The 27,664-nt window shown below is 37.9% G+C and overlaps 2 long non-coding RNA genes across 2 annotated transcripts; one reads left to right on the forward strand and one right to left on the reverse strand.

The window, feature by feature from the left end:
• Positions 1-813: 813 nt before the first annotated feature.
• On the reverse strand, positions 814-27,390 carry LOC105378394 (uncharacterized). Its single transcript, XR_946141.2, has 3 exons — positions 27,214-27,390; positions 2,599-3,055; positions 814-952 (listed from the first exon to the last, which is right to left on the reverse strand). It is a non-coding gene; the product is annotated as an uncharacterized LOC105378394 (long non-coding RNA).
• On the forward strand, positions 25,620-27,284 carry LOC105378393 (uncharacterized). Its single transcript, XR_946140.1, has 3 exons — positions 25,620-25,758; positions 26,382-26,542; positions 27,211-27,284. It is a non-coding gene; the product is annotated as an uncharacterized LOC105378393 (long non-coding RNA).
• Positions 27,391-27,664: the final 274 nt, after the last annotated feature.

The raw sequence follows: 27,664 nt of genomic DNA on the forward strand, positions 1-27,664 counted from the left end.
AACCATCGAGAACGGGCCATGATGAGGATGGTGGTTTTGTTGAAAGGAAAAGGGGAAATTGTGGGGAAAAGAAAGAGAGATCAGATTGTTACTGTGTCTGTGTAGAAAGAAGTAGACATAGGAGACTCCATTTTGCTCTGTACTAAGAAAAATTCTTCTGCCTTGGGATGCTGTTAATCTATAACCTTACCCCCAACCCCGTGCTCTGAAACATGTGCTGTGTCAACTCAGGGTTAAATGGATTAAGGGCAGTGCAAGATGTGCTTTGTTAAACAGATGCTTGAAGGCAGCATGCTAGTTAAGGGTCATCACCACTCCCTAATCTCAAGTACCCAGGGACACAAACACTGCGGAAGGCCACAGGGACCTCTCCCTAGGAAAACTAGAGATCTTTGTTCACGTGTTTATCTGCTGGCCTTCTCTCCACTATTATCCTATGACCCTGCCATATCCCCCTCTCCAAGAAACACCCAAGAATGATCAATAAATACTAAAAAAAAAAAAAAAAAAAAAAAAATTAAACTCCCTTAAAATATCATTTTCGTAAAAATGATATTATAAATGTCCAAAGCACTGGTTCTTTGATCATTGATAAAACTCATCATCACCGTCTAATTATCAATGCTATTTCATGGAAATTTTGGCAACTTTATATAGCTTTTTACCATCTTTTAGATGTATTTTCCTCATTTCAACAAAGCACCCTTAGCAAAATGTGGCATATCATGAACAAAGAGAAGGAAAGATCTCAGTCAAAAATTGAAGGTGGTAGAGGCATTTTTATCACTGATCTATTTTAGCACCTACTGGCCTGTGTCCCCGAGAGGTACATCTTTATCCCCTCAGTCCAACCAATTTTCCATTCCTTTTCTCTGTGACAGCAACTGTGGCATGTTCTTTCCTTTCTTCCTTTCTCACTTCATTGTCTCACCGAGAAAGCCAAGAGGAATACCTGTTTGCCGTTTGGATTAGGAAACATTAATATAACTCACGTAAGGAAGAATAAAATGTTAATTTTCTTATCTCCTTACTTTCTCCTTGTTTTCTTATCTCCTTACTTTTCTATCTGGAATCACGTTTTCCCCCCATCTTTCAACTCACACCCTCTCCAAATTGTTATATGTAAATTTATTATCAACCTATCCATTCTTATTTTCTAATTTTCTCTATCTCCTCATAAATCTCCATAATTTGGGTTTTCTATTAGGCTTGTTTACATTCTTATTTGGATGACTATTTTAACACATCAGGTAACCTTTTCCAAAAATTTCTGTAACAGTAAGACAATTTCCTAGATTTTCCTAGGATATGAGGTAAAATTATCTCGTTTTTTTTTTTTTTAAGACAGAGTTTCACTCTTGTTGCTCAGGCTGGAGTGCAATGTCATGATTTCGGCTCACTGCATCCCCTGCCTCCCGGGTTCAAGCAATTCTCCTGCCTCAGCCTCCTGTGTAGCTGGGATTTCAAATGCCCCACCCCATGTCTGGCTAATTTTTTGTATTTTTAGTAGAGACGGGGTTTCACCATGTTGGCCAGGCTGGTCTTGAACTCCTGACCTCAGGTGATCCACCCACCTCGGCCTCACAAAGTGTTCTAAAAAATTTATTTTTCTGTCTCCACTCTGCTAAGCATCAAAAATATTCCTACAAAAATTCAGAGCAATAGCTCAGTTATAAAACCTAACTTTTTAAACTTTTTCTTATTCCTTTCCTCTGAACCCAAAAATCTATTAGGCTAAATAGTTCTTACAACTGATACTAACCTTGCAGTAAATAAAATTTTGAAAACATTTCTGGAATTAGTTTTATGAGACATAAAATTCAGGACTAAGTACTCCTTCAGAATCACCCAGGCTAGTCAATCTTTCTGATTTGGGAAAGTAAGCTCCCTTCTGATCTCATGATTTACAGTAATAACTTTGTGGTAAGAGCCAACAAATACTTAATTAGCCTACTTGTCATAAATGTGCTCTGTGGACAATTAAGCATGTCAAGTTTATACAGTAGGGGTGACTTACAGAGATAGAAAATGTGACTTTAAAGATTGTGAATCCATGGGGGAATTCTTTATGAGATGGCTTACTGCATTAGAAAAATGCAAACAAATCTTGCTAACAGCCCAATAAAATCTATGGGGCCATATTTCTGACTTGCAGTGAAAATCTTTAATTCTAAAATTTCTTGTCTCCTATGCACACCCTTGTTTCATTCTTCATATTAGCAAACTTTCCCCTACACCAGAGTGCTGGCTTGTGCCAGGCACAGCTTTTTCAAGGCTGCCTCCCTGCTGATTTGTCTCCCCTGACAAGATCCAGTTGGCTTCATAAAATGCTGTCTGCATAGTTTTGAACTTGATCGATTTCTTTGAGACATTAGCTCACATAAGAAATATGTCTTCCCAGATGCTGAGGCACATGCTTTCTCTTTCTGGATCCCTGTGAGGCATGAACTCTGGCGACCCAGCTTGGCAATTGGAATTTCTGAAGCAATGTATCATCAGCTGTCTTCAAATCATGGCAGCATCCAAATGCTCAAGCATTTGCCTACTAAAGTAAGAGAAATGTCCTTAGACCCATTGATACACCCTGACATCACTCACCGGCAGTGCCTTTTCTGTGAGGTCAGAGAGAACAGTCAGTGTCCCAGGCTGAGCCTCTGGTTGTCACAGAACCAGGCATAATCATAGCAGGTTTCTTTCATCACCCTCAGCCAGATGTTAGCCTCAGGATCTCCATTGTTTACTAAATGTAGTATCTTCTTAGTATTAGTAAAAGAAAACTATTTTTTAGAGCAGATATTATATATTAGGCACAGGATATAAGAAATGTGCTTATGTTAATACATTAATATCAATGACTTTTTGTTTTAGTCTGTTTTTGTATTGTTAAAAAGGGAGACCTGAGGCTGAGTAATTTACAAAGAAAGCAGGTTCATTTAGCTCACAGCTCTATAGGCTGTATAGGAATCATGGTGCCAGAATCTGCTTCTGGAGAGGGACTCAGGCTGCTTCCACTCATGGCAGATGGTAAAGGAGAGCCAGCATGTACAGAGATCACCTGGTGGGAAAAGAGGCGAGAGAAAGCTGAGAAGGTGTCAGACTCTTTTCAACAACCAGTTCTTGTGGGAACTAAGGGTGGGAACTCACTCACTTTCATGAGAATAATACCAAGACATTCTTGAGGGATCTGCTCCCATGATCCAAACACCACCCCCCAGCCCCCACCTCCCACAATGAGGATCAAATTTTAACCTAAGACTTGGTGGGGTCAAGCAAATGATATTCAAACCATAGCACATTTGCAAGAAAATATGATTACGATTTTACAGATAGAAAAACCAGAGCTCGGTGGTATTAATAGCTGAATCAACCACACCACTCCCCATTTTGAATATAGTTTCATCTGTTGTTACCATTTTTAAGGCTCCACCATCCTCTCCAACATTCCCTGGAAGCTTCAAAATCCCATTAACAATTTTTATTTCAACCTCAACCCCTATAATTATCCTGAGACATTTCAATGCTTAGAATTACCCCTCATCTCAATCATTACATCCCCTTAAACTCCTTAAATCTAGCAAACTTTATATTCGCTCCTTGGAAATTCACTAACTATATTGGCATCTGGATGTGCTCCACTTTAGAATTTCACACTACTGTTTTAATTTTGGCCATGACCTTTCATCCTGACCTTTCATCCTGCTCATTCTCTTTTCCTTCACTCACATCCATGTGCACACAACTGCATCATGCCCTCCAGCACCTCAACTCTTCTATTGCTGTCTAGTCTTCCAGATGGATAAATCATCTCACTGCTTCAGCCTTCTCTCCAGAGACCTACCTCTGTAACTGCCCTTTGTTGATCTCTGTCAACTTCTTTATGCATTAACACCTTTGCTGTTCCTGCTACAAAACCCTGGCCCTGTTTACCGGACGTTTGTTCCTACTCACCACTTCTGGAGAACAGAGACATCCTAGTGAAAGTGACTAAACTGACCAGCCAGGCTCCAATACAAACACGTGGTTTCCAAGTCTTTTGAAACTCAAAATTAGATTATCTGGTTCTTTATTTTGTAAATCTATGTTCTCTCTCAATATATGCTTCCAATTGGCATAAGCATGCTCCTGTTTCCCCCTTAATAAAATACCCACAAAAATATTGGAATTCTATAATTTTTTCTAGTCCCTGTTATTTGTCTCCTTTGCTTTGCATCCAAATTTCTCAACTGTTCATACATATTTGATGTACTTATATGTATTCTGGATTTCTCTCCCACTCTTTTGTTAAAACAACTTCTGATTATGTCACCTGTTGTTGAATCCAGCAGGTGTTTTTAATCTTCATCTTATGGCATCTATGGCATTTTGTACCATGAACTCCTTTAGTCACCCATGAAACAGCACTCTACTGAATGTCTTTCTAGCTTTCAGTCCTTTCCCTTGCCTCCTTTTTAGGCTCATTCTATTCCTCACTGTTATTAAGTGTTGGAGTTCCTCAATATAAGGCCATATTGTAACTATTTACTTTCTCCTAGCAAGCACATCAATACCTATCTTTTCAATTTCCCTTGTATACAACTGACTGGCAAATAAAACCTCTATACAGATCTGCTCAATAAAACTATTTGCAATGTTGAAATGTTCTATAATCTTTGCCACCTAATATGGTACATATATTGAATAAACCTTTCCATTTCTCCAGCTGCTCAAGATAATCACCTTAGCATACATTCAAGATCCTGTGGGGTCATGTCTCATTATGCTCCATCTTCCTTTAGCAGCTTATGCTAACTTTTTTTTCTGGAAACATCATAACCAATTTTCCCCCCATTGAAAACCTTTGGACACTTCCTTGAAGTAACCTTTCTCAACTCCTGGTATCAATTTTCTCAATTATCTTCTGGAAATGTATATTAATTTGTGTGATTCTTTGATTAATATCTGACTCTTTAAAATAAGAGCAGAGGCCTTTGCTTTTTGTAGATGTTTTGTTCACCATTTTAATCCCAGGGCCTAGTTAAGTTGCTGGAATATAACAGATGTACATTAAATATGTGTTGAAATAGCATTTTCCTAAGTTCTGGATTTGTAGATAGCTCCAACTTCTTCTTAGATATTTTTATATGTTCCAAAGCCATCTTAAAATGATTTTACTACTCTGCCCCATACCTCTTACTATTACTACACACACACACACACACACAAACAACCCTATACAGACATACTTAAGATATATGACAACATACTTAAGATATATGACACATTCGGTTCCAGGCCAGAGCAATAAAATGAATATGCAATAAAGCTAATCCCACAACTTTTTTTGTTTCCCAATGCATAAGAAAGTTATGTTTTAGGGGGCTTTAAGATGGCTGGCTAGAGGCATCTGGCACTCACCTCCCCCACAAAACAAACCCCAAAATAGTAAGTAGGTAATCACACTTCACATAGATCACCTAAGGCAGAACAGTGGAATTCAGCAGAGAAGTGACAGGAAACACTAAGGCATAGAAGGAGAGAGAAGCAAGGCAGCCAGCTGGGCCAGGATTGGGTGGGAGACTGGAGAGGCTCCTTGATGCAAGGAAAGGGTGAGTAAAAGATTCACAGTGATCCAAATTCCCACCACAGACTCATGCCTGGAGTTTGGGCGATGGCATTGCTCCAGAGAGGGAGCTCATGCTAGGGGGAGCTCATGCTAGGTCCCACATCCCCCTACCAAACCCAAGCAGCTGTATAGCGCCATCCTGACAGTCCAGACCCTACAACATTGCATCTTGCCCTGGGGTCTAACAGCCCCTGCACCTCTATATCCCTGAATCCCCACTGATATACCCTCCACATCCACCTGGAGGACTACAGTGGTGCCATTGCCCATTGGACCCAGCAGTGTGGCAGGGACCTCAACACTGCAGCCCACACAATGTCCTACTGGGAACAGGTGGTGCAGCACACCAGGGAGGCTGCTCCAGACAAAGGGAGTCTAAGTGTGCACTCCCCAGAGCCTGAAAACCACTTGCCTGGGGCTGTTGCCACTGATGGCAACCCTGTCTCCCACCAGCAGCAGAGCCACTGCACTCTTGCACATATCCTGAGAGTCCTGAGAAGAGGCTCTCCCCGCCCATTACTGCTGCTGTTGCTGCCACCTGAACACACCACTGGGCCCTGGAAATAGCCTTGTCCTGCCCACCACAACCCGGTGGGATTGCATCAGCAAGGCGAGTGAGAATAGGCCCACCCAGCCTGGTACAATCCCCTCAGCACCACCCGCTAGGGGCTTGAGATTGCCCTTCTCTGTCAATGGCCTTGGGCATGCATACAGAACATTAGAGGGCCCAACAACAGTCTCAGAAAACTAGCTGCTGGTGCCCAAACACATGGTCTGAAAGTCTGGGGATTGGCTTGGCCCATCCTCCACCACTGGTATCTGTTCACTCCTTCCAAAAGATTGAGGATGGGCACCCACTCTGCCGCCACCACAACTGCGGGCACCTACCTGCACAGGCCACCTGACAGCCTGGGAACTGGCCTGCCCAGCCAGTTGCAGCCACTCTTAACACCAGCACAGGCTACATGGGAGCCTGAGTGTTGCCCTGCTACTGCTACGGCCATCACACATGTACCACACATGCTGCCTAGGGGCCTGAAGATCCACCCACCAGTCCAGCTTACTGATGCCATTGCTGGCACCTGAGCAAGCCACATACAGGCCCAAGAATTGGCCTTCCTGGACCCATTAACTCCAGTAACTCCACACGCCACCTGGGGGCCCAAAGATAGGCACACTTCACACACCACTGCCACCAATGGAGCTGAAGAATTGGCCCACTTGGCATCCTCATCCCCAGCACCCAGCCTCACCACATCCTCCACTGACAACTGTAGTTCAAACCACTGAGGAAATCACAGACATCAATGATACTGTTTGCAGCTGAAGAAATCATTAGGGGATTACACCATAGCATGCACCCAGAATCAAGGCCAAAGGGCCATACTCAACCAACACCATAATATATCTATAGAGAAAAGTCTTCTCCTATTAAAGCCAATCCAAAAAATACAAAGAAGGAATTGTTACATCAGATACACAGATATCAACATAAGGACACAAGAAAAATAAAAAAACAAGGAAATATGACACCTTTAAAAGAACAATAATTCTCCAGCAACAGATTGCAATGAAAAAGAAATTATGAAATGTCCGAAAAAGAATTAAAAACATTTATATTAAAGAAGCACAGGCAGATGTAAGAGAACACAGATAAGCATTACAAATAGATCTGAAAAACAATTCAGAATATAATGAGAAATTCACCAAAAAGATAGATATTACAAAGAAAAAAAACAAACAGAAATTCTGGAACTGAATAATTCAATGAATAAAATATAAAATACAGTTGAAAGCTTCAACAATACAGTAGACTAAGTAGAAAAAAGAATTTCAGAACTTGAAAACAGATATTTTGAAATAACCCCATCAGAAAAAAGCAATAAAAAGAATAAAATCAATGAATAAAGACTGAATGTCATATAAGAGACCACAAAGCAATGAAATATTTAAATGCTGGGTGTTCCAGAAGGAGAAAAGAATGGCAAAACTTAAAAATCCATTTAATGGAATAATATTGCATGTTTTCACTCATATGTGGGAGCTAAGATAGTTGATTTCATGGAGGCAGAGTATAGAATGATAGTTACCAGAAGCTGGAAAGGGGAAGTATATATGGGGAAGCAGAGGAGTGAGGTTGGTTAATTGGCACAAACATGCAGTTAGAGAGAAGGAATAAATTTTACTATTCAACAGCAGAGAAGAATGACTATAGATAGAAACAATATATTGTTTATTTCAAAATAGCTAGAAGAGAGCACTTGAAATGTTTCCAACACATAGAAATAATAAATGCTCAAGGTAATGAATACCCTAAATACCCTGACTTGATCAATACACAATTAGTGCATGCAATGAAATATCACATGCAACTTAAAAATATTAGGTATACATTTAAAATATAATGTATACATTTAAAATTTTAAAATATATGAAAGTTATGTTTACGTTATTCTGTAGTCTACTAAGTGTGCAATAGTATTATGTCTAAAACAAAAATGTACATACCTTAACTAAAAATGCTTTATTGATTAAAAAATGCTAACAACCATCCAAGGCTTCAGCAAGTCATATTCTTTGCTGGTGGAGGGTGTTGCCTTGATGTTGATGGCTGCTGACTGATCAAGTTGTTGGTTGCGAAAGGTTGCAGGGCTTGTGGAAAGTTCTTAAGATGAAACAACAATAATGTTTGCCACAGAGAAATTTTTTCTTTTCATAAAAATTTTTCTGCAGTATGTGATGTTTTTTGATAACTTTTACATGCAATAGAAATTCTTTCAGAATTGGAGTCAATGATCTCAAATATTGCTGTTGATTTATCAAATTATGTAATAGTTGTCATCTTAACAATGTTAACAGTATCTTAACCAGAACTAGATTTCATCTCAAGAAATCAGTTTCTTTGCCCATCAGTAAGAAGCAACTCTGCATCTCTTCAAGTTTTATCATGAAATTGCAGCAATGCAGTCATATCCTCAGGCTGCACTTCTAATTCTAGTTGTCTTGTTATTTCCTCGACATCTGAAGTTACTTCTTCCACTGAAACCTTTAGTACCTCAAAGTCTTCCATGAGGGTTGAAAGCTTCTTCCAAACTGCTGTTAATGTTGATATTTTGACCTCCTTTCATAAATCACAAATGTATTGAATGATATCTAGAATGACGAATCTTTTCCAGAAGGTTTTCAATTTACTTTTCCCATATCCATCAGAGGGATCACTATCTATGAAAACAAGAGCCTTGTAAATAATAAGATTTACAGGTCAAAATTACTTCTTGATCAATGGGCTGCAGAATGGATAGTGTGTTGGCATGCATGAAAACAATATTAGTCTCTCTGTACATCTCCATCAGAACTTGAGGGTAACCAGATGTGTTGTCAAAGAGCAGTAATATTTTTTAAAAGTTTTTTTTTCTGAGCAGTAGGTCTTAATAGCAGGCATAAAATATTCAGTAAACCAGGCTATAAACAGATGTGCCATCCCCCAGGCTATGTTGTTTCATGTATAGATCTCATGCAGAGTACATTTAGCATATTTCTTAAAGGCCCTTAGATCATCAGAATGGTAGATGAGCATTGATTCAACTTAAAGTCACCGGCTGCATTAGCCCCTAACAAGAAAGTCAGAAAGTCCTTTGAAGCTTTGAAACTAGTCAGTGATTTCTCTTCTCTAGCTATGAAAGTCCTACATGGCATCTTCTTCCAGTAGAAGGCTGTTTTGTGTACATTGAAAATCTGCTGTTTTGTGTAGCCACCTTCATCCATTACCTTAGCCAGATCTTCTGGATAATTTACTGCAGCTTCCACAGAAGCACTTACTGATTCACCTTGAACTTTTATGTTATGGAAATGGCTTCTCTCCTCAAACATCATAAACCATCTTCTGTTAGCTTCTAGCTTTTCTTCTGCAGCTTCCTCACCTCTCTCAAGTTTCCTATGAAGAGAGTTAGGGCCTTGCTAATTCTCTAAAGAAATAGGCCCTAGGGTCTCTATCCAGACCACTCAAACTTTCTCCATACCAGCAATAAGTCTGTTTTACTTTCTTATCACTCTTGTATTCAGTGGAATAGCACATCTGATTTCCTTCAAGAACCTTTTCTTTGCATTCACAACTTAGCTAAGCGTTTGGTGCAAGAGGCCCAGCTTTCAGCCTATCTCAGCATTCAACATGCTTTCCTCACTAAGCTTAATCATTTCTAGATTTTCTGCTAAAGTGAGAGATGTGTGACTCTTTCTTTAACTTGAACACTTAGAGGTTATTTTGGGGTTATTAATTGGCCTGATTTGAATATTGTTGCTTCTCAGGAAATAGGGAGGTCTGAGAAGAGAGAGAGTGATGGGAAACAGCCAGTTGATGGAGCTGTCAGAAAAAACTGAACATAAAATAAATCAACATTTATGATTAAGTTTGCCATTTTTATGCATATTTTTGTGGTGCCCCCAAACAATTACAATGGTAACAAAAAAGATCACCGACCACAGATGACCAAAACAGATATAATAATTACAAAAAGGTTTAAAATATTTTGAGAATTACCAAAATGTGACACAGAGACACAAAGTGAGCACATACTGTGGAAAAATGGCACTGATAGACTTGCTGAAACAGGATTGCCACAAACCTTTGATTTGTAATAAGATACAATATTTGCAAAGTGCAATAAAACAAGATATGCCTGTAGAACAGCATCATGGACCTTGTCATTCAGAACCAAAATTTGCAAGTTTTCTTTAAATTTGCTCTGTCTTTAGGCAGCTACAAAAAAAATTACAAATCATTATTGAAAATAATTAAATAAAGAATGGAGGAATATACCATGTACATAATTTAGTACTGTAACTAATGCTGTATAATTTACCCCTAAATGACCTATGGATTCAATGCAATCTCAAACATTATACCAGCAGGTCTGTTGTTACTGTTGGGTAGGAGTTGACGCCTGATACCCAAATTGACACTGAAATACAAAGGTCAGGAAATATTCAGAAAAGAAAAAAATGTTGAAGAAGAAAAAGTTTAGAGTAATTACAATAGTAGATATTAAGCTATGGGCCAGGTGTGGCTCATGCCTGTAATTCCAGCACTTTGGGAGACTGAGATGAGAGGATCATTTGAGGCCAGGAGTTGAAGACCAGCCCGGGCAACATAGTCAGACCCTGTCCCTACTAAAAAATAAAAGGGGGGGTGGGGGAGAGAGATATATAAAGTTCTTACACTTAAGACAGTCGTATTAACAGAGGGATAGCTACATCATTTAATGGAAGAGAACAGACTACAGAAATATACCAACATATACACAGACCCCCCAATTTATGAAAAAGATGTCATTTCACAGTGGTCTTTTATGCTATGATCCTTTAAAAATGTGGTCCTGAGTCAGACAGTTATGCATATTAAAAAATCTGTGCCCCTATATATACAATTCAACTCAAGGGAGATTATACACCTAAATGTAAAACTTGAAACACATTTTTTCTAGAAGAAAACATAGAAAAAGAGCTTTATGACTTAGAAGATAGGAAAAGATGGTACAAATAGGGCACAGAAAGCACTAACCTTAATGATAATCATTGATAAATTAGTCTACATCAAAATTTTGCTTATCAAACATCAGCAAGAGCATAAAGGAGCAACCCAAAAAATGAGACAGAATAGGAGAAACGTAACTGACCAAGGGATCTCACACAGAATATATAGAGAGAATTAAGAAAAAGATAGACACACAACAGATAAATGAGCGAAAGATGCAGGCATTTTAGCAAAAGTGATATTCAACTGGCAAATAAACATACGAAAGTTGTTCAATGTTAATGCAAACTGGAAACACAATGATACCACTATATCCCCACAAGAATGGTTAAAATGAAAAAGACCCATTACATCAATTGTGGAAATGTGAGGCAACCCAACTCTCATAGTGCTAAAGAGTGGGGGTGTATTTTATAAAATTGTGTGAAGTTTTCACTGTGTATACTAAAGCACATGCATGACCTAAAAATTTCATTTGTTGCTATTTTATAGAATTGCATGCATATTTATAACAAAAGATATATACAAAAATATTCATATCAGGCTTATATATTATATTTAATATATTGTATAATATATTCTGTATATATAATATATAACAGAAGAGCATGCATATTTATAATATATACACAGAATATATATAATAAATATATTACAGAATTGCATGCATATTTATAACAAAAGATATATACAAAAATATTCATATCATCAGGTTTATTATATATACACATATATATGTGTGTGTGTATATATATATATATATTCTAGTCAGGGTCTCCTTCTGTTGCCCAGACTGGAGCACAGTGGCACAGTTATAGCTCACTGTAACCTCAAACTCCTGGTTTCAAGCAATCCTCCTGTATCCTGAGTAGCTGGGAAGACAGGTGCACACAACACACCCAGGTAATTTTTCATTTTTAATTTTTTGTAAAGATGGGGACTCTTTATGTTGTTTTGCAGGCCTATCTTGAACTCCTGGCATCAAGCAATTCTCCCACCTCAGCCTCCCAAAGCGCTGGGATGACAGAAATGAGGCACCACACCCAGCCCATATCATCAGTTTTTACAAGAGTTCCCAACTGAAAGCTACCAAAAATGTCCATAAACAATAGAATAGATAAACATGTTGTGTGATATTTACACAATGAAGGAAACTATGAGAAGGAACTGTCTATCACAATGCACAAAATCCTTGAATTTGTCAAACATAATTTTGAGCCAAACAAGTCTTACACAAAAGAGTATGTTTTGTATGATTACATTCATGTAAATGCAAAACCAGATAAAACTAATCTATGATTTTGGAGGTTCAGTTGGTGGATAGTGACTAGAAGAGGGCACAAAAAACACTGCTGAGGGCTGGAATCTTCTAGTTATTGGTTTCGGTGTTAGTTACATGACTGTGTTCACTTTGTGAAAATTCACAAACTATACACTCGTGATTTGTGTATTTTTTGGTCTATATAATACTAAAACGACATAGTTTATTTAAATTAAAAAAATCAAACTCATTTTTCTCAATTTACCACATGCACATTAGTTGAATTCACACTGTAATATTCTACTGTCATTGTCTGAAGTCTCTCATGATCTCTCACCTTCAAAATAGTAGTAGCTTGACCACTGGTCTCCCTCTACTCAAAGCTATCCTTATGCAAAACCCTTCTGAAAGCCATCTAATGACAAACATAACCACTCCTGTGGCCTATGTGAAACATCTTAGTGATTGTCTACTTACAAAATCTAGCATTCAAGCTCCTTGCTGACAAATCCTACATTGTTTTGATTTGCCTCAAACTGCCTATAAGGCCAGTACTCATCTTCCTGTTTGTATACTCAGTATATACTAGGAACTGACATATACTATTTTATAATGATCAATAGCTAATAATAACCAAGTTGGCATCTGAAACTACATCTGTATAGATCCATAACCCATGCTCTTTCTATAACATTACAATGCCCACTGCTGTACACGTGGGGAACAACTTGCTTATTATAGCATCAGTGTTCTTTAGCTTAGCAATCTCTAACTTGAAAGAGCTGGATGAAAAGGAGTGAAAGGAAATTACATGTTATCATTATTTGCTAATGCACATTGCATACAATCATAAATTGGTATTGTTCTTTCTTAAGGCAATAGGGAAATGCAATTTCAAGGATGTTTACTTTTTAATGTAAAAGTAATCATACTTAATATAATTAATATCCGTGATATTCATGTTACTGAAGAAAAAAAAGTATAAAAAACTTGTTTCACATAGAACAATCTAGGAAAGAAGAGCAATAAAGCCTAAAAATGTGAAGTATATAATAAAAGGGCAAAATTATAATAAAACCACCAGTTATCAGAGTTGTTATAAATTAATTAAACTCCTCTTGTATTGGTAAAAGAACCTAAATTAATTATATAATCTTGATAACAGACTCAATAAAATGAAATTAAGAAGAAAAGCAAAACATTAAAAGAGGGAGAATTGTATACCAGGCAATAACAAATGCAAAGAAAACAGCCTTGGCAATATCAGTATTACAGAATCCAAGACAAGAGCATGAAATAAGAAAATGAATGTGCTTTATATGACTACCAAATGAATGAATAAATATTTATGGCAATTATTAACATTTATGTATCAAATAATTTGACACTAAAATATTTAAAGGAAAACTTATAAATGTAAGGTACAGTTGACAAAATTAGAGTCATGGGGAGAACTTGAATATATCTTAATATTTAATACAGAAAACAGAAAATATCAGTAAGCATAGATGACTTGAATAATATACCACAATGAAAAATAACACCTATAGTGTTTACCATGTCAGGCACTGCTGTATTTATTATATATATCATTATATTTACTAGCTCATTTACTGCTCACAATAAATCTATAGAAAGATATTATTAGATACTACTACAATCTCATTTACAGATGAGAGAATTAATTCAAAGAAGGTTTAGTAGCTGGACTAACGTTACATAGTTTGAAATTGATTGAGCCAAATATTGAACATAGGCAAAATGTTTCCAGAGCTTTAGCTCTTAATCACTTTGCAATGCTCTCTTAATTAATAAGCCAGACTGAAGAGGTATGAATAGGATTTGTGCCTAGATGCCCATTATACATATTCTTTTAAATGTCTGTAATACATTTACATAAATAATCAAAAAATTTCAAAACATGAAAAATATGCAATCTTTTTTGCCTCAAAGCAATAAACAAAAAATACAAGCAAAACTAAAAACATGAAATACATTAAAATATGCCTTGATAAATAAGTGTTGGGGCAAAGAGGAAATTAAAACTGGTATTACAGACACTTTACAATGTGAAAGCAACAAAATGTTGGGTTCTAGTCAAAAAAATCCTCAGAAAAAATAAATAAACTTAAATAAATTTAATATTGGATAAGACAAAATATATGAGAGAAAGAGAGGTAGGGAGAAATCAATATAAACAAATAATATCCAATCTCAAAAATAATAAAAATAATATTTATATATATATTAGTGTAGGAACAAAACTACTGAAAAAATGAATATTTAATAATTTAGAAAATACAACGCAATATCAAGTGAGAAAGAAGAATGTATGTCTATATGCATGATTCCAATTGTAATTTTATAAGTAAACAATGTATACAGATTTTTAAAAACTGTGACAGGAAAACATTAAATTCACTGTGGTAATATTGTTAATGAAATTATCAGTAATTATAATTTTTTTTTTGCTTTAAAATACTTTTCTTTCTTTTCTTTTTCTTTTTTTTTTTTTGGGGAGACAGTCTCACTCTGTCATCCAGGCTGGAGTGCAGTGGCGCAATCTCGGCTCGCAGCTACCTCTGCCGCCTGGGCTCAAGCGATTCTCCTGCCTCAGCCTTCTGGGTAGCTTGGACTATAGGCATGCACCACCAAGCCTGGCTAATTATTTTGCGTTTTTAGTAGAGGCAGGGTTTCACCATGTTGGCCAGGCTGGTCTTGAACTCCTGATCTCAAGTGATCCGCCAGCCTCGGCCTCCCAAAGTGCTAGAATTACAGGCGTGAGTCACCGTGCCTGGCCTAAAACACATTTTAAATGCTCTATGATGAATATTCTGTCTCATTCAATTTGCATGTAAAGTCATTACTGGTTGCATAATGCTGGGATCAGCATGGGTACACAACAATGAATGTAAAGGAAAACAAAAACTAGAATATGAAGAAAAAATTAAAAAAGGAAACCAATAAACTTAAAAGAACATGTATGCATGCAACAGTATGGATTATTCTGAAACACATGATAGTAAAGAAAAGAGACAGAAATGAATTTTTGATTTTGTGTATCCAAAAATATACCAACACTTACAGTGTTAGGAATCAGAAGGTGGTCTCCTGAATAAATAGGAGGTGGTGAGAAAAGGAATCAACAGAGAACACAGGAGAAATTTCTGGGTTGATGGAAATGTTTTATGCATAGTTTGGAAGGCAGTGATCAGGCATTTCCAATTTTCAGTAGAACGCTTAAGAGATATCTATTCTTCCAGTCCTTGAATCTAGGCTGGCCTTGTTATTTGCTTTAGCCAACAGAATTATGCTGAAATGATGCTGTGCCGGTTGTGAGTCCAGGCATCAAGAGGCACTTTTCTTTCTCAGAGCCCTGCTGCTGTCATCTGAACAAGCTCAAATTAATCTTTTAGGCAATGAAAGATCATGGGAAGGAGAGCCTAGTTTTCTCAACCTTCCTAAGAGTGGCCATCCTAGACTAAATTGCTCACAGTTGGCTCACAGCTGACCGTAGATGCCTGATTCTTTCAGAGACCAGAACTATGCAGCAGACCAATAGACTAGTAAGCAGTAATAAATGCTTATTCATTTACGTCATCGAGTTCTAGCCTGGCTTACTGTGCAGCAATCACCAGCAAATACCTATGAGAACAAAATTTACAGTCTTTCAGTTTTGTCGTAAAGAATAAATGGGCTAAAGGACTTAAAGGAGCATTGAAAACTGAAAAGTACTAAAAATATAAGAATTGATCAGACATATGTCTATTTTACAATTTTCCCTGGGCCAAAAAAAGTTATAAGGAAAATAATCATAAAATGTTAGGGCTATATTTGAGATCTACTATTGATCAATAACACATGGATTTTATATCTTAGGCAAAATCTCATTGAATAGTGATAGCTTCCTGAGTGCTGAGCTATGAAAGATTGTTCAGTTACATCTACATTCAGGAGAAAAAATGAACTAGTAATGCTTGCATTAGGCATAGAATATACAACTTGCTTCTGTTCTGATGTTGTCCAATCTTCTCATTTTGGGATTAGAAACTCAGATTTTGAGAGAGATGATGTTTTTAAAAAGTCATTCAGAAAATTAGTGGCAGATGCGAGTTTTTAACCAATGTGTTTTGAGTAAACTAATTGAAAGTTTACCGTATCCATGGGTAGTTTTAAAACATTGAAGTCCAGGCAATGGTTCCTATCTAATACTTTTTGAAAATAATTAATTCTTGAATATTAGAAATATTATTGCTAAGAAACTTGAAGTTTTGTCAAGCAATCAACCAGCTCCCCTATCCCCTCCCACCTCCATGGTTTAAGCCTATTATAGAAAAAAGGATAAGCAGAGATATGAAAGAACAGCTCACCTACAACCCCCAAGTAGTGTGTGTTGAGACTATCGTCCATTTCTGAGGACAATTGGTCCAACATTTATCATGATCAATACATTTGTTAACAAGCAGAAGCCCATTCTTACCTCTGACAGATTTATTTGTAGAAGATGCTGTGTCACCCCAATGTCCTGGCTGCTGGTCAATTCAAGTTTTCATCCCATAACTAGTAGAGCCCAAGGCAATCAGTAAAGAGGACTCTTAGAAAATCATTGACTTTGGGCACAGGAGGAAAGCAAGGAGAGGCCTAAAGGAAAATTGAGCCTGAAAAGTCAAACGGATTTTAGCTGAGCAAGTTTTAAATTTGGAGAGAGATATCAATTTATAGGCAATCTTTGTGGTGTCCTCAAAAAATATGCCACAGAAATTGGCCAAGTTTGGGTTAAAAAAAAAAAGAAAAAAATCCCTGTGATAGTCAGGCTCCGGGGTGATAGTGATTAACAGAATACATTATGGTATTCAACAAATTGGACCCCAGATCATATCATCTCATCTCCTCTGAGTATGAATAACTTTTCACATAAAAGGCAACCAGAGGAAACCATAAACAGGGATTCATCTAAGGTCTCTTCATCTCAGAGAATAGCAAGATGTCCTACCAGGAGTCCCAATTTGGATGGGAGGAACCCTGAAGTAAAACATTTAAGGATATTATTCTCAGCTGCCTGTTTAATCATAGGTGAGAAAGAACAGGCCTTCTTGCCTTGTCATATAGTCTTACAGTGGGATAGCCTCATTCATCAAAGTTATAGATTTCAGATATGAAGACATCAAAGACAATTTGCAGGCCTCTTGGCAGAAGCCATTCATATATTCCATCTAGTCTGCCAACAGGTAACAGATGTGTCCAGTGTCTAGTCCTGGCACATACTCTTGTTCTTGCATGGGATCTGGCAGATGTCATGTACTTCTTCAAAGTGATGAAGTGGAAACACTGTTGACTTGAGATCAAACAGACATGGATTTAATTCTAGCTCTGACATAAACTATATGACTTTGCTCAAGTATATTAACCTCTTGGAACTTCATCATTTGCACAATGTGAAAAATACTTCATAAGGCTGCTTTGAATGTCAATAAGTTAATGTAAGTAATGCAAGTCAGCAGTGAATATGCATACAAAAAATCTAACTTATATTGTGTGGTCAATAATGTCAGTGCTCTTCCATCTAAAAGGCCAAAAAGCATGCCCCTTCCATCATTTCTTTCACTGATTGATAGAATGAAATATATCCAATATTTAACTAATAACAAAACAGCTGTCTCTATTTCAAACATTCATACTTTCATTTGAACATGGGAGGTTCTGAATTTTCATCTTTCTGAATCCCTTATTAACTATAAAATCAGTTGAGTGGAGTTTCACCTTAAACTCTGATTGGATAAACATCTAGACCTCAATCATGTTATATGTGGCCAGTGTGCTTGTTGTTGTTATAAGTTAGAGTTGTTAATTTATGAAAACACTGCATATGTTTTGGGACTAAATCAGAAATCATTTTTCAGTATCCAGAGCAGTCAAGTAATAGCATAAAGAGATGGTTTACAGAAATAAAAGAAAGAAAATTGTTTCAATTAGCTACCTCCTGTATGCTTTTCTAAATAAATACCAAGATTCACCCTATCATATAGTTTCACATTATGATAGTCTCATTCTTCATTTATAGATATTATATATGAAGATACCAAAAAGAATATGCAGGATCCTCAGTAGAAGCTGTTGGTGTGTTGTTACTCATAGGTACACTATGGTAGAAGAACACCCACGTCCAGCTGAAGGGCCATTGGGCTAACATCCTGGCACACCCTGGCCCAGGTGCAACCCAGAATCTTTGCATCCCTTCCACCCAGCTTGTCTAATTCCTGTCCCTATCCTTAACTCAATAGGAGCCCAGGATATAGCTGCTCCCTTTTGATAACCATGAACCATTGACATTTCTTTCTTCTTAACTTCCCATTGTTGTAATATTTTCAGAGATAAGTAAGGGTGATCTTGACCACAAAAATCAGGCTAGATTTAAGATTCATTGATTCCTCTTCATCTTGAAATTTTTGGGGTCTCAATGAGTAAATCAATTAGCAAATCAATTAGCTGATCTAGATTAATTTACTTTTCTGAGCCTCAGTTTCCCCAAATGTAAAGACAGTGAAAAGACTAAACTCTTTGGTGTTGAACCAGTTCTGAGGTCTTTTATGATTCATCACAGCTTCCAGCTGTGGGCAGCTGGGGGCAGGCATAGAAGAGCCATTCTATGATGTTTTCCTCTTGGCATAAGCTACTCAGTCACATATTAAGAAATCTCTGCTACCAAATTTTCCAAACCCAGATAGGCTTCCCTTTGGTACCTTAGTACCTCTCTTTCAGTCTCCACTCTGAAATTCTGGGTTTTGATCATACTTCTATTTTCACATAGATTGTCGCACATTCTTTTTGCCCAAGCTCTTTACTCCGGGTTGTTACAAGCTGTTCTGAAAGCTCTGAGTACACTTTTCAGAAACAGCTGTTCTGAGTCAAGGTTGTTTCTGTTCCACAGCAGTGATTTAGCTCAGACTAACTTTTCTCCCCACAATTATGAGCTCATTGCAGTCATCCTGTGGGACCTGTATCTGGCAGGGGAAAGTCTGTTGGAAGAGCAAGAAGAGGATATGGAACAAGCCTGCAGCCCTGGATGACAGGTCTCCCCAGAGATCCCTCCCCCAGCTGGAGCCAGCCAAGCCTAGCCTTTCTGCTGACAGTCATTCCTGCTTCCTGCTTCACCCATGTGGCTCCTGACATGCTGTTTGAAAAGATCTGTAAGGTAGCTGTGTGGCCTCATTTCTGTAAGGATCTCCAGGGAAGCCAGCTTTCTTGGTAACTGCATAATTTATGTCATTCACCTGCTTAAAGGCTCTCAGAGGCTCCCTATCACTGAAAGAATAATATGTAAACCTTTTAAATGACTCCCAAGGCCAGCTTTCTCAACTGTAAAATGCGGTTCAAAACACCTAATTTGTGGGGTGGTTCTGAAAAGTAAATAATTAAATATGCCTAGGTTTCTGTGTAGTAAATAGGGTACAAAACAATTATCAGTTTTCTTCCCCTTCCTGATCTGGTCCTTATCTATGTTATAGGATTATCTCTTATTACTCTCATTCTTCATTTCAGTTATCCAGTCTACTTTCATTCTTCAAGTATTCTTTAATATTTTTATTCAGATTGTATGTGCCTGTTCATATACAATCTTTCTTGAAACTTATGCTTCCCTTTTCTTTTCAGAAAAAACAGCTCATACCACAGCACTCATTTTCACTCTCTTTCAAAGTATAGGTAGTCCCTCTCTTCTTTTCCTCCAGTGTTCCACTGCCCTGGTACAGTTCTGTGACCGTGTTTGGTATTTTGTCATTAATGTAATGATAATAATAGCTATCATTCCTAACATGCTTATTATATACCCAAGACTGCATTTTCCCTTTACAAACATTAGCTTTACTTTTCAAAGCCAGCCTACAATTGTTGATATTTAGCCTCCAATTTAGATGAGAAAAATGACACTGAAAGGGGATGATGTTGCCCAAATATACAGCCTAGTTTGACATGTGCCATGTTGACTAGACAGTACTTCTTAAATAACTATATAAGAGACCTGGCCCTCAGCAAATAACTGCTAAGAGATGAATGACTCAGAAAAGTCTCCCCTTTGATTCTTGATTCTTTTCTCACCAGCATCATGAGCTTCTCTTTTCCTTAAAGGACACATCTGTTCAACCCAGTCGTGTTTCAGTATGTACCATCAAAGAATTGCAGAGGAATGCAATAGATCATTCAAATAAAACTTTTGTTTGTATTACAGACATTGAAACAGACTTGGAGTCATTCAAACCTTTCCTGAGGTCAAAAGTGAAGCAGTGAGGGAACTGGAATTCCAATGACATTCACTTTATTCTCAAGCTGGTGTTCTTTGCACAGCTCTGTTTAGCAGGTTGGGGAAATGACTGGCTGGTTTTCAAATCTATAAAAGCTGGAGCACAACTAGAGAGGCTTCAAAACCCAACACAAGCATCACTTCCTCCAGGAAGCTGTCTGTTTAGAGCTGATCTAAGTCAATATGGCCATTTATATTTAGATCTTTGGTAAATATTGGTATCTTCTCCAAACTTAGAAGAAGGTAGAAACTATATGTCAGCTCTTTCCACAAGCTCAATTGAGTGGTATACAATGAAAGAAAGTATACCACTTGCTTTCAGACCAAATACTGACACCCAAAGTGATGTTTATTATCTAAGCAGGCATATAACAACTTTACAACCAATTCTTGTAGACTTGTTGAAGTCTTGACTTTCTGTCAAACACAGAGAATGTGTTTGAAAGACTGACCCAAGGCAAATACAACAAATATTTTGATAGCAAGATCAACCATTATTCTTGTAAGGTTCAGTGGCAGAATCTTTTTTAAGTGGAATAAAACAAGACCAAATGAAATTCTAGTTCTATAGCACTAGTGTGAGGGACTCAAGTGCCTGGTTCATCAAATTCTTATTTACCCATTAAACAAAAGTGATGTAAGGACACAATTATTCTAGTCAAATAGCCACGCACATATCTTAAACACTGTTTCACTCATAAAAACATTATTTCTAATCTATATTATGTAGTTAGCAATCCCCTTTGAGCATGTTCTGATACCAGCATTTGAAATGCATGCCCTAGAGTGTAAACCTCTCTGTGTAGAGGTAACTCAATATACATAGAACCTAGATTCTTCATTAGAATTATTTGGGTGTTCTTCCAAAGAACCCCTGATCTTCATAGGGTACAAATTAAATAGATTTATATACACATGCATTACCTTGTCTGTAGACAAATAAATCACAGATGATATACCACCACCTCCTTTGTGGTCCTGCTGCAAGGTTCATACTTGTTAGAACCTTCAGTGCATGGAGTAATTGTTCAGGTCAGGCATTTGCCTCTGCCACCAAACACTAGTTATTTCCATTCTACTAAGCACCCGTTTTGCATGGTGACTGGCATAAAGTTCACATGCAATAAGTGTATGTGATCTTTTAATAAATGACTGGATCAGTTAATAAATTAGAATAAGCAGATGTTGGAATTATCACTCCCACCTATTGCCTCCACTGTGGTTATTCTGACTAAAGACAAAGCAAAAATGGTGGGGAAGGAACTTTTCTCTGTTATAGCATAGCTTGTGACACAGAACTAGATGGGAAAAACTAGAGTCCCATATAAAGTTAGGTTCTACCTGCATCTGACTTTCTCTTCCATCAGGCAAGCCAATATACCCCTTAGAGGGCTGGTCCTTTAAGGCAGGCTGACCTCACTAGAGAAGGCAGAATCTTTGTGGTCAGCTGTGACTTGCAGCTGAGGTATATGCTAGGGAAGAAAGAGGGCCTAGGTTAGTAGACAACCTCCCCACTCAAAAACCAACTTTGCGCATTCTCGCTGTGTTTGCTTTACTTCAAAGGCTGTTTTTATTGTCACCCAGGCATAGAAACTAGCCTTCAGGGTTTACTGCATGTCCTGACATGAAGCTTCTCACTGTCTAATTTGCATTCTAAATAGGTGCACAATTGATTCACAAAACCTCTGTGCTGCTTAACAGGACAAATGAATCATTTACTTTCCAAATTGCAGGGAGCTTTGAGGTCAGTCAGCCTGGGAAGCCACAGAGCCTCTCCCTCAGAGACACAGAGGAATACAAACAAGCAGGCTCCAGCTTTGGGAACCATCTCCATTTGAGTGGCCAGTGCCATCATCCTCTTACAACACTCAGGGGATGCAGGGTATTAGCATGCTCAAGCCAGCATATGGTACACATCTTATTAACGTAATCGCAGGACTCCAGCAAGCTGTTTTCCAGATGATTTGGACCCCTGTGAATATTCATCTCTATTCTCTGCCTCTGCTCATCTCTGGAAGGAATAATGCATACACATTCCTTTTGCCCAGTGGACTCCAAAGAAATCTTTCCAGTGTTTATAATACCTGTAAAACCCCTCTGTAAATAACACTCAGGCCACACTGAGCAGATTGAAGCCAAGAAGCTCAGTTCTGCCTGACAGCTTTTCCCCAATTGGTTATTTTTAATGTTAGAAAAGAAGAACGGCTCCTGAACAGAAGATTCACACTAACCTTAACTTAGACATTTTTTATGGCTCTTTAGTGAAAGGCTATTTTTACATTTTTGAAAGATTAAGTGAATTCAGCTTCTTCATCTAAAAAACTGTTTCTTTTTATGCTGGCCAGTGACAAGTTTAAATTTAAAAACAAAGAATAAGAATAATGATAAAAGTGGGCCTTAATTAGAAGATGTACGTTGTTTTCTGTTCAGCCAAGACCTCCCTCCCTCACCCCAGTCTCTGTCTCTCCCCTCAATCCTTCCAACCATGAATGCCAAGCATTGCAAAAGATTCTTTAGCTAACAGTGACCTGGGAAACATCTGGTCTGGAAATTAAGAAATATATTGGGGATATATCTTTAAGATGAAATGAGAGGCTTCATTCAGACTGCAGAAGAATTATTTGTGACTCATTCATAAAAGTGAGAAAGAAGATCAACAAGGATGTTTTAGTACCCACCAGTAGGGAGAAATGGAAATGCAGAAGAAGCTAATATTTATTAAGTACTTACTTATGGAAATAAACAAAGACCAACCAAATGAGAACAAGCATAGCTATTTTATTCAGAGCTTGCAAAAGCAAGGGAGTCAGCCATCTTGCATTTGGCACAGACTCAAAGGGAAAGCAGCAGGGTGGGAAAGCTTTATAATGGAACAAAGGGAAGGCTTCCTATGTGCCCTGATTGGAAGTTGTTGGCGTGGGGAGGCTGAAGGAGGGCTGACTAGATGTGGGGCATCCTATGTGATTGGTTTGGAAAACATATTTGGCTTGCTCTGGTTGGTCCTGAGTTGGCAGCAGAGACAAAAATTAGAGAAGCTGGCAATCATTGAGCAAGCCTGTATTCTGGACTGATTGCTGCAGAGGCTACAATCTGGCTTCCTAGACAGGTTGCTGAAGAGATTGTGGGTCAGGGTTGGTTCTATAGTCATATATTTTGTCCTTTTATCATGTTGTCTCGATTGCTATATACATTTTATATTTGTATATTCATTCCCTTTTTGGATGAATTTTTTTCTTTATTGCATTATATTTGAATGTAGTTATTCATCAAATCATAATTAAGACTGATATGCAGACCTAATTCATTACCATAGCACTTACTGGAACTCAACATGTGACTTGTTAATATTCGTTCTAATTTAAGGGCAAACAGAATTATTCCATTTCAGATATTGAAAGGTATTTTAAATACTTGAACAAACTGAGATTGCTCTATTTTGCCTTAAATTTATTTTCCTTCAGCTAAATATCCATAGAAGTTTAATCTAATATGGTTCACAGATTATAATATCAATTTGACTTTTTTCTGTTTGTATGGAATTTCAATGAGAATTTGTGATACATATTTTATTATTGCCTCTAGAAAATTTTATTTTACAGCAGAGGAGAAAAACATGTTTTGCTTTTTTATCCCCAGGCAAATAGTTTAATATATATACATACATATATAATATATATTAGTTTAATATATATATTATATATTAGTTATAGCTATATATTTCAATAGCTTTGGGAGTACAAGTGATTTTTGGTTACATGGATAAGTTCTTTAGTGGTGATTTCTGATATTTTGGTGCACCCATCACCTGAGCAGTGTACACTGTAAACTGTACCCAATATGCAGTCTTTTATCCCTCACTTTCCTCCAACTCTCCTCCCCCAAGGAGAGTTCCCAACATCTATTATATCATTCTTATGCCTTTGCATCCTCATAGCTTAGCTCCCACTTATAAATGAGAACATAGAATTTTTGGTTTTCCATTCCTCAGTTACTTCACTTAGAATAATGGCCTCCAGCACCATCCGATTTGCTGCAAAAGACATTATTTTGTTCCTTTTTGTGGCTGAGTAGTATTTCATGGTGTATGTATACCACATTTTCTTTATCCACTCATTGGTTGATGGGCACTTTGGTTGGCTCCATATTTTTGCAATTGCAAATGTGCTGCTATAAACTTATACCAAAAGCCAGGTACTGTAATTTCATTTAATTACCACAGAAATCCTATGGTGGGGGAAAAGACATTGTTTTACTGTCTCAAAAGGTTAAAACCTGAAACAAGTGGCTCAATATATTGAGCTAGTGTTGCAGTCTTGCAAATGCACCTTTATGTAGCAGTTTCTCTTGTGAGGTATCACCCTGAGTCCTTCATCTCACCTCCAAGATGACTGAGGAGCACTGACACACGGGTGAGGTTGGAGCAAAACTTTTATAAGCGAAAGGAGAAAGCTCTCTGCAGAAGAGTCTGAGTGGATTGCCGGGTCACAGCTGAATGCAAAAAGCTTTTATAAAAAACTGCTCTCCTCCCTGTAATTGTTTGAGGAGTAACTTTTCTTATCAGTAACGCTGTCTGTGCAACTCCCTTTATCCAGCTGTGGGATGTTTCTAAGTAAGCACAAAGTGCTGCTTCTCTTGTTCATGTAACTGTGGGTTTGTTTTAGGTAAGCCTCCTTCCTCCCTGTGCAAGTTCCCACGGAGCCCACTGTGTATATGCCTGAAAAGGGGAGGAAACGTTTTCCTGGAGCTAATTATACAAAGAACAAAAATGCTTCTATGCCTCACTGGCTCCTTATCAGCCCCTGAGCTTATCTGTGCAGCTGCAGCAGCTGTGATTTTTCAGGCAGGCATTTCCCCCGGGGCCCAGCCTTAACTATTTACCTAACTGGTTTTTCCCTACCTTCTCCCTCACTAGTGAGTGGCAGGACTAGGTTTTGCATATTAGGAAAGGCTGATTGAGAAGCTCACACTCTTTCCCACAAGTCCAGTAAGCCTCATTGGCTCAGGTGGAGATGATGTTTACTCCTGGAGGTCCGTGTTGGGAGCATCTGCAGAGATCACAGAGATTTAGGGTATGGCCAACTTTTATGTTTCTGTAATGTTCAGTCTAGCCTCGGCTTCAACATGGCTTTTGCTTCCATGAGCTGGAGACGAGGCTCCAAAGTTTACATGGAGATATCTGGTTGAAAATTACAATGAATAGCTAGCCAAGTATGGAATGCCTATTCTTGAGGTCATTTTCACAAATAACATGCCATTAAGATCTTTTTTAAATAATTGTACTTTTATAAACTGGATTATGCTTTAAATTGCATTAGTAGAAAGAAATATCTTAAAAATAATATCCCTTAAGAAAATTCACAGGAGACTAAAAGATACAACCAATTATTTGCCCAGGGGACTAAAAAATACACCCAAAATATATGCAAAAAATTATGCATATGAGCATGTTTGCATTTTTTGCCTGAATAAAATGTTGACATCTTCATAAGATTCTGAGAATATTTATTTTCTTCCAAAAGAAAAATTCTGAGCATCTGTAATTTAAATAAAACAATAACAAAAGCACTCCTCCATCTATGGTGATGTGCAGTCAAAATTGAAAACAGCTGCTCTAAAAGAGAAAATCATCTTTAAAATAGCCATTTAAAATACGGCTAACTGTGTCATGTCTCTGCCATCTTTGTTAGTATAGAACGTTGCAAGTAGAGTCATCTCCAAGATACCCAGGAGGTATCAGCCATACACTGTTGCAGACACCGCTGACAAGGAACGAGCTTCTTTCTGCTTTGGTCCTAGATACGTGGAAGAGTTTTCAGCTTCCTAGTTTGCATTAAATTTCCAGAATACATCATGGTAAGAAGGGAACTTGGAATTCTAGCTAAGATACCTAATAGCTGGGGAGCTTGGACAAGTCACTTCCTCTTTTGAATCTTTGTTTTTATATCCTTACAGAGATCTGCTGAATAACAGCTTTTTTTTTTTTTTTTTTTGAGACAGAGTCTCGCTCTGTTGCCCAGGATGGAGTGCAGTGGCTCGATCTCGGCTCACTGCAAGCTCCTCCTCCTGGGTTCGTGCCATTCTCCTGCCTCAGCTTCCCAAGTAGCTGGGACTACAGGCGCCCACCACCACGCCTGGCTAATTTTTGTATTTTTAATAGAGACGGGGTTTCACTGTGTTAGCCAGGATGATCTCGATCTCCTGACCTCGTGTTCGGCCCACCTCGGCCTCCCAAAGTGCTGGGATTACAGGCGTGAGCCACCGCGCCCAGCCTGAATAAAGGCTTTTTGACAATGGTCCAGGCAGCCCTAGGTTTTAGATATGTTTTTCTACAGTTATAGAAGGGCACTCTTATCCTGGCATTGATGAGAACAGTATCACATGTGTTGGCCTTATGTATTTAAGTTTTAGGTAAGATTGTATTTGAAAAGTGAGCTCTAGTGCAAATAAAAACTTTGAAAACTATTAAATGAAATGAGCCTTAAGGAGTCTTTTAACTTTTTAAGAAATATTACGTTTTACAGCACCTCTTCTTTAGTTTCACCCATGGAAGCACCAGATGAAGAACCTTCCCAGAGAACAATGTGTGTGACATGTCCATCCATTCTGCCTTCTCCTAAGAGTTTGGACAGCTAATCCGTTCACCGTCTAAAGGAGGGAAGGTAGAGGGTTAGATTCTGCTGCTGGATCTTTTTTATTAAACAATTGTCATATAACTGTGGTTCTCATGGATAAAACCACTCTCTCAAAATTAGGAAAAATCAAAATCTGTCTTTCATGAATTTACTTTCTCTTTCCACATATAATACTCTCAGTTGTCAGAACCACCAGGCCTCTAGATATGAAGATTTTCAGTGAGATTAAATAATGTAATGGAAGGGGTTAGGGAATCTGTCGGCCCCCCAACCCCACCCCACCCAACCTTGTCACTTTTGACGCTATGTGTTCACAGCTGCCTTGAGGGCCTACACTACGGAT

The sequence above is a fragment of the Homo sapiens genome, chromosome 10, assembly GCF_000001405.40.
Source record: "Homo sapiens chromosome 10, GRCh38.p14 Primary Assembly".
Classification (NCBI taxonomy): domain Eukaryota; kingdom Metazoa; phylum Chordata; class Mammalia; order Primates; family Hominidae; genus Homo; species Homo sapiens.